The following is a 12,209-nucleotide window of genomic DNA, read 5'->3' as shown; positions in this document are numbered from 1 at the left end:
CCAAGCTCAACAAACTCCAAGTAAGATGAGCTAAAAGAGATCCATACTTTGTCTTTTGAAAGACAAAGACAAAGAGAACATTTTAAGAGCAGCAAGAGAGAAGTGACTCATCACATATCAGGGATTCTCAATGAGAGTAACAGGAGAATTCTCACCAGAAACTTTGGAGGCAAGAAGGCAGTGGGCCAGTACATTCAAAATGCTGAGAGATCGAAAAAAATCAATCTGTGAACTGATAATTCTACATCTGGCAAAATCATCCTTCAAAAGTGAAGGAGAAATTAAGACATTCCTATATAAACAAAAGCTGAGCAAGTTCATTAACACTAGACCTTCCCTGAAAGAAATGTTCACAGGAGTCTTGCATGGTGAAATAAAAAGACACTGGACAGTAAATTGAAGCTGTATGAAGAAATAAAGATCTCAATAAAGGTAAATATATGGGCAATCATAAAAGCTAGCATTATTATAACAATGGTTTATAACTCTATTTTTAACTTTCTACATTTTTTAAGAGACTAATATTATACAAAAATTATATTGACACTTTCGTTTGTAACTCCACATTTTGTTTTATATGAAATTTAAAAGATTAATGTATTCAAAATAATTATTGGCTAGATGGGGTGGCTAACACCTGTAATCCCAGCACTTTGGGAGGCTGAGGCGGGCAGATCACTTGAGCTCATGAGTTTGAGACCAGCCTGGGAAACATGGCAAAACCCCGTCTCTACAAAAAAATACAGAAATTAGCTGGGCATGTCAGTGCACACCTGTGGTCTCAGCTACTCAGAAGGCTGAGGTGGGAGCATGGCTTGAGTCCAGGAGGCAGAGGTTTCAGTGAACTGAGATTGTGCCACTGCACTTCAGCCTGGGTGATAGAGCCAGACCTTGTCTTAAAAAAAAATTATCAGTTTATGTTTTGGGCACACAGTGTACACAATGCCTAATAAGGATGTAATTTTGTGGTCAACAACCAAAGAGTTGGGGATGGAGATGTAAAAGAGCAGAGTTGTGTATGTTATTGAAGTTAAACTGGTATAAATTCAAATTAAACTGTTATAATTCTAAGATTTTTAAATGTAATCCCCATAGTAACCACACCAAAAAAGCTATACAGTATACACAAAAAGAAATGAGAAAGAAATATAAATATTTAATTACTAAAAAAATTAAACACAAAAGAAGACAGTAATTCAGAAAAGGAGGGACAAAAAAAGCAACATAGAAAACAATATAAAACAAGTAAGAAGATGACAGAAATAAGTCTTTCCTTATCAGTAATTACTTTAAATTTAAATAGATTAAACTCCCCAATCAAAAGACAGAGATTGGCAGAATGGATTAAAAAAAATGAACCAACTCCGTGTTGTCTACAAAAAACTCACATAAGATGCAAAGACACAAATAGACTGAAAGTGAGTGATAGGTAAACAATAACCAAAAGAGAGCAGGAATGGCTATACTAATATGAGAACAAATAGACTTTTAATTTTAAAAAGGTTAAAAAAGATGAAGACATTTCATATTAATAAAAGGCTCAATACAGCAAGATGATATAACAATTTTAAACTGTTACCCACCTAATAGCAGATCATCAATATATATGAAACAAAAACTTTGGATAGAATTGAATGGAGAAATAGACTATTCTACAATAATAGTTGGAGACTTCAATACCCTACTCTCAATAATAAATAGAATGACCAGACAAAAGTTATGTAAGAAAATAGAGAACTTAAACAATGTAATAAACCAACTATATCTAACATATATCTAATAACAGCATACATATTCTTCTTAAGTGCACATGAGACATCTTTCAGGACAGAACATATGTTATACCACAAATTAAGTCTCCACAGATTTAAAATGATTGACATCATATGAAGTATCTTCTCCAATGAAAACAAGATGAAGTTAGAAATCAACAACAGAGGAAAGGTTGGAAAATGTATAAATTTGTAGAAATTAAGCAACATACTCTTAAACAACAAATAGACAAGCTAAAATTTTTTAACAAAAATTAGAAAATACTTAGAGAAAAATGAAAACAAAAACAGAATATATAAAAATGTTTGCAATGCTGTGAAAGCAGTGATAAGGGGAAAATTTATAGCTATAAATTCTTACATGAAAACATTTTAAATTAACAATCTAACTTTTCAAATTAAGAAATAAGAAAAGGAAAGAAACTAAACCCATAGTTAGAAGAAAAGAAAATAATAAAAATAAGAGCAGCAATAAATGAAATACAGAATGGAAACACAATAGAGAAAATCAATGACAGCAAAAGTTGATTCTTTGAGAATATCAACAAAAATAATGCTTTAGCTAGATGGACAAGGAAAAACAGAGAGCAGACTCAGATTGCTAAAATCAGAAATGAAGGTGGAGACATTACTATTAATCCTAATTCCACAGAAATAAAAAAGATTATAAGAGAGTACTATGAACAGTTGCACAACAACAAATTGGATATTCTAGATGAAATGAACAAATTCCTAGAAAAACAAAACTTATCAGGACCAACTTACGAGGAAATAGAAAATGTGAATCAACCTATAAATAGTAAGGAGATTAAATCAGTAATCAAAAATTTTTAAATAAAGAAAAACCCTGGACCTGATGGCATCACTGGTGAATTTTACCAAACAAACATTTAAAGAACTAACATTAATTCTTCCAAAACTTTTCAAAAAAGTTTGAAGGAGAGAATACTTTCTAACTCATTCTATGAGACCAACCTCACCCTGCTACCAAATCCAGACAAAAACACTACAAGCAAAGAAAACTAAAGACCAACGGCCTTTATGAACATTGAGGCAAAAATCTTCAACTAAATACTAGCGAACAAAATTTATCAGCATTTAATATTAAAATGATTAGAAACCATAACCAAGTGGAAGTTATTCCTGGAATGCAAAGATAGTTCAACATATGAAAACTGATGGAAAAAAACCACACCACATTAACAGAATGAAGGAAAAAAGACCACATGAACATCTTAATTGATGCAGAAGAAAATATTTGACAACATTCAACACACTTTCACGATAAAGACATTCAACACACTAGAGAAAACGGAAACTACCTCAACATAATAAAAGCCATATATGAAAAGCCCATAGCAATCATCATACTCAATGGTGAAATATTGAAATCCTTTTCTCTAAGGTTGGGAACATGGCAAGGATGCCTGCTTTTACTACATTTATTCAACATAGTGCTGAAAGTTTTAGCCAGAGCAATTAAATAACAAAAAGAAATAAAGGGCATCTAAGTTGGAAAGTAAGATGTAAAATTATCTCTGTTCACAGATGATATTATCTTTTATGTAGAAAACCATAGGAATTCTGGATGCAAAAATCTTCAACAAAATACTTGCAAACGGAATCCAGCAGCACATCAAAAAGTGTATCTACCACAATCAAGCTGGCTTCATCCATGGGATGCAAGGTTGGTTCAACATATGCAAATCAACAAAGGTGATTCATCATATAAACAGAACTAAAGACAAAAACCACATGATTATCTCAATAGATGCAGAAAAGGTCTTTGATAAAATTCAACATCTCTTCATGTTAAGAACTCTCAATAAACTAGGTGTTGAAGGAACATACCTCAAAATAATAAGAGCCATCTATGACAAACATACAGCCAATATCATATTGAATGGGGAAAAGCTGGAAGCATTCTCCTTGAAAGCCAGCACAAGACAAGGATGCCCTCTCTCACCACTCCTATTGAACATAGTATTAGAAGTTCTGGCCAGGGCAATCAAGCAAGAGAAAGAAATAAAGGGTATTCAAATAGGAAGAGAGGACGTCAAATAATCTTCGCTTGCAGGTGACATGGTTCTTTATCTAGAAAACCCCATTGTCTAGGCCAAAAAGCTTCTTAAACTGATAAGCAACTTCAGCAAAGGCTCAGGATACAAAATCAATGTGCAAAAATCACTAGCATTCCTACATACGAATGACAGGCAAGCTGAGAGTCAAATCACGAATGAACTCCCATTCACAATTGCCACAAAAACAATAAAATACCTAAGAATACAGCTAACAAGGGAAGTGAAGGACGTCTTCAAGGAGAACTACAAACCACTGCTCAAAGAAATCAGAGAGGACACAAACTAATGAAAAGCATTCCATGCTCATAGATAGAAAGAATCAATATTGTTAAAATGGCCATACTGCCCAAAGCAATTTATAGATTCAATGCTATTCACATTAAACTGCCATTGACACTCTTTACAGAATTAGAAAAAAAAATTGGAAAATTCATATGGAACCAAAAGGAGCCAAAATAGCCAAGGCCATCCTAAGCAAAAAGAACAAAGCTAGAGGCATCACATTTCCCAACTTCAAATTATACTACGAGGCTATAGTAACCAAAATAGAATAATACTGGTACAAAAATAGGCACATAGAACAGCAGAACAGAATAGAGAACCAAGAAATAAGACTGCACACCTACACCCATCTGATCTTTGACAAACCTGACAAAAATAAGCAATGGGGAAAGGCTTTCCTATTTAATAAATGGTGCTGGGAGAACTGGCTAGCCATATGCAGAAAATTGAACCTGGATCTTTTCTTACACCTTATACAAAAATTAAGTCAAGATGGATTAAATATTTAAATATAAAACCCAAAACCATAGAAACCCTCAACAAAAACCTGGGCAATACCATTCAAGACATAGGCACAGGGGAAGATTTCGTAATGAAGATGCCAAAAGTGATTGCAACAGAAGCAAAAATTGACAAATGGGATCTAATTAAACTAAAGAGCTTCTGCACAGCAAAAGAAACTATCAACAGAGTAAACACACAACCTGCAGAATGGGAGAAAATATTTGCAATCTATCCATCTGACAATGTTCTAATATCCCACATCTATAAGGAACTTAAATTTACAAGAAAAAAGAAACCATTAAAAAGTGAGCAAAAGACATGAGCAGACACTCCTTAAAAGCATATATACATGCAACCAACAAAGGATACGAAAAAAGCCCAACATCACTGATCATTAGAGAAATGCAAATGAAAACCACAATGAGATACCATCTCACATCCATCAGAATAACTATTATCAAAAAGTCAAAAACTAACAAATGCTGGTGAGGTTGTACAGAACAAGGGAGACTTTTACACTGTTGGCAGAAGTGTAAATTAGTTCCACTGTGGTGATTCCTCAAAGACTTAGAGGCAGAAATACCATTTGACCCAGCAATCCCATTATTGGGAAAATACCCAAAGAAATATAAATCATTCTATTGTAAAATACATAGATGTGTATGTTTACTGCAGCACTATTCGTAATAGCAAAGACATGGGATCAACCTAAATGCCCATCAGTGATAGACTGGATAAAGTAAATGTGGTACATATACACTGTGGAATACTATGCAGCCAGGAAAAGGAATGATATCATATCCTTTGCAGGGACATGGATGGAGTTGCAACCCATTATTCTCAGCAAACTAATGCAGGAACAGAAAACCAATACCACGTGTCCTCACTTATAAGTGGGAGCTAAATGATGAGAGCACATGGACACATGGGGAGAAACAACACACACTGGGGCCTGTCGGAGGGTTGTGGGTGGGAGGAGTGAGAACATCAGGAAGAATAACGAACGTATCAAAATATGTCATGTACTGCATAAATATATATACCTACTATGTATCCATAAAAATTAAAAATTTAAAACACTAATAAAAGAAATAAAACATTAGTAAGTGGGAAAACATTCTGTGTTCATGGATTGAAAGACTTAATATTGTTAAAAAAAATCCATGCTATCCAAAGTCATGTGTAGATTTAACACAATTTCTATGAAAATTTCAATGACATTTTATATAAAGATAGGAAAACCCCATTTAAAATTTATATAAAATCCTAATACATCCTGAATGGCTAAAAAAAAAAAAAAAAAATCTTGAAGAACACAATTGGATGCTTCACATCCCTGATTTCAAAACATACTGCAAAGTAACTGTAATTAAGATGGTGTTGTACTGGCATGAATATATATTTATATAAACCAATGAAACAGAATAGAGAGCTCAGATACAATCTTTTGAATATACAAACGATTTTCAACAAGGGTGCCAAGATTACACAATAGGGAAAGGAGAGTCTCTTCAACAAATGGTGTTAGGAAAATGGAATACCCACATGCAAAGCAATGAAGTTGGGCCCTTACCTTATCCTATATGCAAAAATTAACTCAAAATGTATTAAATTCCTAAATGTAAGACCTTAAACTTCAGAATAAAATGAAGGAGAAAGTTTTAGGGCATTGAATTTGGCAATAACTTTTAAAATATGATACCAAAAACACAGGCAGTGAAATAAAAAATACACAAATGGGGCTACATAAAACTTAAAAATCCCAAAACAACAAAATGTAAAAAATAGAATTATTATATGCACCATTAATCCTTCTTCTGAGTGTATATTCAAAATAATTCAAAATGAGATCTTGAAGAGATATTTATTTGCACATTCATGTTCATTGCAGCACTATTTACAATAGGCAAGATGTAGAAGAAACCCAAATGGCTAGTGATGAATGAATAAAGAAAACATTATATATATATATGTATGTATATATATATTTTAATATACATGGTGTGTGTATATATATATAGAGACAACATACACACACACACACACACACACACACACACACACACACGATAAAATATTATTCAGCCTTAAAAAAAACTTCCTGTTTGAGGGTCTTCACAAGCCAAACCCAGCCCTTATTTTTAGTCAATTTCTCAATTCACCCATAAGTACCTGCAGACTTATGGAACCAGTGTTCCAAGAAAAAAGCTCTCTGCCCTGCTCTATGATTTTTCTCAAGCTGGAATGTTCTCTCTCATCTCTAGGTCATAAGAGTTGGTTTATTCCAAATAATATCATTTTGATATTTTCTCAGATACCCCCACTTTAAATAATTTCTCCCACCCTGCTGTACCACTGGAGAATATATGTGTATAGTGATAACTGATAACTCTTCCCTATATTTCCCCTAGTCTTCTAGATAACTATTCCACACCTCTCTTCTAGATCTTAGGATAAAATATTAAGGACTCAGAACACAAGTGTATAGAAAACACAGAACATAAAATATATATTTATCATGACCATCAAAACATTTCTCCCTGAAATTTGTAAATATTTTGTATATAAAAGAAATATTGATACTACAGAATCTCAGTGGTTCTTACCTGGATGTAGACATGCTGACATTAGACAATCTCCATAGTTCCTACCTGGATTTAGAACCTACAGCAACTGCAGCAAGTCTATCCATTTTCTGTTGTTAAAGTCTCTTTTTAAAGAGTTAGCATTTTTTTTTTGAGTCCAATGATGATTACCCAATTAGGTCGTTGTACTAGGTAAACAGAAAACAGAATATTTAGCTAATTCTAGGAATTCACTCTAGGCTCCTATATTTTAAAGGTTATATTACTAATTTCTCAGAATTAACATATCATTTTATGTTAATGTTAAAAATAAATTTTGTTTCTGGGAATGACTTGTATTATATTGTTTATTAAATTGTTATTGTTATTAAATTAAGCATAAGATTCTTTTTTCTTTAGAAATACAAATACAACAGATTATTCAAGGTATTTAAACTCTTCCAACTAGTAGAGAAGAAGAATCAAATAGATGTAATAAAAAATGATAAAGGGGATATCACCACCGATTGCACAGAAATACAAACCACCATCAGAGAATATAAACACCTCTACACAAATAAACTAGGAAATCTAGAAGAGATATATAAATTCCTGGACACATACACTGTCTCAAGACTAAAGCAGGAAGAAGTTGGATATCTGAATAGACCAATAACAGGCTCTGAAATTGAGGCAATAATTAATAGCCTACCAACCAAAAAAAGTCCAGACCAGACAGATTCACAGCCTAATTCTACCAGAGGTACAAAGAGGAGCTGGTACCATTCCTTCTGAAACTATTCCGATCAATAGAAAAAGAGAGATTCTTCCCTAACTTATTTTATGAGGCCAGCATTATCCTAATACCAAAGCCTGGCAGAGACACAACAAAAAAAGAGAATTTTAGGCCAATATCCCTGATGAACATCGATGCGAAAATCCTCAATAAAATACTGGCAAACGAAATCCCGAAGCACATCAAAAAGCTTATCTACCACGACCAAGTCAGCTTCATCCCTGGGATGCAAGGCTGGTTCAACATATGCAAATCAATAAATGAAATCCATCACATAAACAGATCCAACAACAAAAACCACATGATTATCTCAACAGATGCAGAAAAGGCCTTTGACAAAATTCAACAGCCTTTCATGCTAAAAATTCTCAATAAACTAGGTAATGATGGAACATATCTCAAAATAATAAGAGCTATTTATGACAAACCCACAGCCAATATCATACTGAATGGGCAAAAACTGGAAGCATTCCCTTTGAAAACTGGCACAAGACAGGGATGCCCCCTCTTACCACTCCTATTCAGCATAGTGTTGGAAGTTCTGGCCAGGGCAATCAGGCAAGAGAAAGAAATAAAAGTATTAAATTAGGAAAACAGGAAGTCAAATTGTCTCTGTTTGCAGATGACATGATTGTACATTTAGAAAACCCCATTGTCTCAGCTCAAAATCTCCTTAAGCTGATAAGCAACTTTAGCAAAGTCTCAGGATACAAAATCAATATGCAAAAATCACAAGCATTCCTATACACAAATAACAGACAAACAGAGAGCCAAATCATGAGTGAACTCCCATTCACAATTGCTACAAAGAGAATAAAATACCTAGGAATCCAACTTACAAGGGATGCGAAGGACCTCTTCAAGGAGAACTACAAACCACTGCTCGACGAAATAAAAGAGAACACAAACAAATGCAAGAACATTTCCATGCTCATGGATAGGAAGGGTCTTGAACTCCTAACTTCAGGCGATTCACCCACTTTGGCCCCTCAAAGTGCTGGGATTACAGGCGTGAGTCACGGCACCCAGCCTAGCATAGGTAATCTTAACCAAAATTTTAGGGACATGACAGTGGAGAGCTGTCCTTCAGATGGTGTCACTGAAGTATTCATGACTATTTTGGTTTTTTTTTGTGTTGTGATGAATACTTTTATTTTGTCACCTAAAAATCATAGTGATCCATATATCACAATTTTTTTTGAGATGGAGTATCGCTCTGCTTATATCACAATTTTACTAATTCCATTTACTTTTAATGGTTTTAATTTTCTGAGAGTGAGAAATCTTAGAATGACAATGAATTGAGGCCAGTGAATATAAAGAAAACTGGTACTAAGAAAATGGGTGAGAAATTTGCAGTTATCAAAAAATCACAGCCATCCTTAAAAACTGAAAAATATATGCCAACAATTTATTACTTCAATTTAAAAACTTCTCATAACCCATTTTATAAATAACTTTTTCAGTTTAATACACTATAGGCCTTCCACAATTTACACATATATTGTATTCAAGACAATTATTTGTGAATTGGAAGTTTGGTGCTCTGTGTATTTTTCCCGTAGAAGCATTTAGAGTCCGTTCTGCCATATACTGAGCACATCAAAATAGGATGCTCATAATTAGAATGGTAAAATTCATTTTTTTCTATTTTATATTGCTAAAAATATTGCTCCTACTATTATTTCCACATATCAGAAAGAGTGCTAACTACCCAGATTCTATATTCAGCTTCTGTGGCCCAGCTGCTAGGAGTGAGGTATTTCCATTGAATATGGAGGTAGAGAACTGCCAGGATACACAGAAGCTGGATTAGATTAGATTAGAGACACAGAAAAGAGAATACAAGGAAGAGAACCAATGGAACACTGCAGCATCTCCATCTCCTCCCTCCTATTCCCTTTATGTTTCTTTCTTTCTTTTTTTTGTTTCTAACCTTTGAGGATTTGTGACCTTCTCATCAAATATACTTCTCGGACAACTTATCCTTTGTAATTTGGCCATCACAGAGTTATACTTTTTTCCTTTACTTGCAAAGGTTCCAGAAATCAACCCCTCCCATTTTCTTTTCCTTCTGCTATCAAAGGTTGCCAGGATCAGTCCTCTGCACCAATCCCTAGATGAATGATGCCCTTTTTCTACTTCCCAGGAATAAGCACATAACATTTACCGTTCTTACAAAGGTGCAATCACAAAGATTAGACTAGATATTACTTAACAATAACAGGCACCAGTGTGCTAAAAATGGTAAATGGCAACAAGAAAAATAGTAATATCCTAAATATTTTTCTCATCACCTTTAAATATTTATAAACAAGCCTTTAGCCTCTGGAGTCTACATTCTTACTCTTTGCCAAGCGAAACACGATTCCTTAGCTTTCCTTTATTCAGAACCCTCTCTTAATCAAAAATCCCCAGTTCTAGAGTCTGAGTTCTCATTCCTTTTTGCATTAACTGCTGCTAAAGCTTAGCTGCCCAGCCTTACAGGACCAGGCAGTGGGAAGTGGCACAGTTAATGTTAGCTCCTGTCGTTTTGCACAACCTTAGCCTGGCCAGATTCCCAGGCCTCCCAAGCTGCTTTAGGCCTTCCCTAAATAATGTTTCAGTTTAGAAGGAAGGTCCTCCACTCTGCCTACCTGGGGTAAATATTCTTAACTTTCTGAAAGAAGGAAACTTTGAGAACCACCTGTCTTTCGGTGGTTTAGACTGTAACCAAAATACGATAATTCCTTATTCTTAACATAGAATAGGAGAGAGAGAGACTCGGTTAGTGAGACTGTAATAAAAATATGATAATTCCTTATTCTTAACAGATAGATTTGAACTAGAAATAACAATTAAAATGCTCTTTTAGGTAACACTTTTCCTCTGTCTCTTCTTATTTTCATTGATTGCAAAAAATAATGGACCTTACTTATTCCTTTTTTAACTTTCCCATAATTGAAAATTAATTACATTTGGTCTTTATTCTTTGATATGAATATTTATATCTTAAATTTATATTCTATGTATTCATCATACCTAGTGATCGTATTACCATTGAATGGAAACCCACTGCAAGTGATTTCAATTAAGGTTGAACAATCCTGAAATAATACAAAGTCAAAGAAACATTAAACATCATTAAAATATTAAACTAAGCATCAAAACATTTCTCAGTATCCTTAATCTTCATGATAGAATACAATCCTTCAAGTGAATGGCCCACATTACATAAAGTTATATTATCAGTTGTTTTAAAAGGCAAACACTAGAATGATAATAATAACAATTATTACTTCTTTCTTTATTGAACGCATTATGATTTCAAGACAGTTGAATGAATATTTTCACATTTCCTTATGAAAATCTTATCTGTAAGTTTAGAACAGACTTTCTTATGTCCATTAAAAACACTGATTTTGTATGGTCTCTTCAGTCCCAATAGCTCATATGAAAAGACCAGATATTTGTTCTCAGGGTAGATCTCAGCAGACCTCTTTTTGCCACCTTATTTCTGTTATCAATGTTAATGTAAAAGCTTACTAATATGATTCATAAATTACACAATATATCCAGAGGAGTCACAAACGTTTTCTGTATTCTAGTGTCTAGTGTATTACTGCCATCTTAAAGGTAAGGAACACATTTATTTATTTATTTTGAGACTGAATTTCGCTCTTGTTGCCCAAGCTGGAGTGCAATGGCGCCATCTTGGCTCACTACAACCTCCGCCTTCCGGGTTCAAGCAATTCTCCTGCCGCAGCCTCCCGAGTAGCTGGGATTACAGGCACGAGCCACCACACCCGGTCATTTTTTTTGTATTTTTAGTAGAAAGGGGGTTTCACCATGTTAACCAGGCTGGTCTCAAACTCCTGACCTCAGGTGATCTGCCCACCTCGGCCTCCGAAAGTGCTGGGATTACAGGTATGAGCCACCGCGCCCGGCCAGGAACACATTTATATCCTTGCTTAGAAATTCACTCACTCTTGCATTTAGAAAGCTATTTCCACAATTTTGTTTTTCTGTGGTCAATGAAGGTCGCTACCATCCCTGGTATAACACCTACCAAGTGAAATGAAATTATAGTGCAGTAGTGGAGGAGATGGTTTGGGGTAGGGGAGATGACCAAGATTTAAAATTCCATTTTTACTGAAATATTGAAGTAACTGATGAAAAGGTGTTTTTCCCCTTGAACTGTTTGATGACTGTATTTTTTTCAGAGCTAAGT

The sequence above is a fragment of the Homo sapiens genome, chromosome 12, assembly GCF_000001405.40.
Source record: "Homo sapiens chromosome 12, GRCh38.p14 Primary Assembly".
Taxonomy (NCBI): domain Eukaryota; kingdom Metazoa; phylum Chordata; class Mammalia; order Primates; family Hominidae; genus Homo; species Homo sapiens.
The sequence above is the reverse complement of the archived record's forward strand: the minus strand, read 5'-3'. Positions refer to the sequence as shown.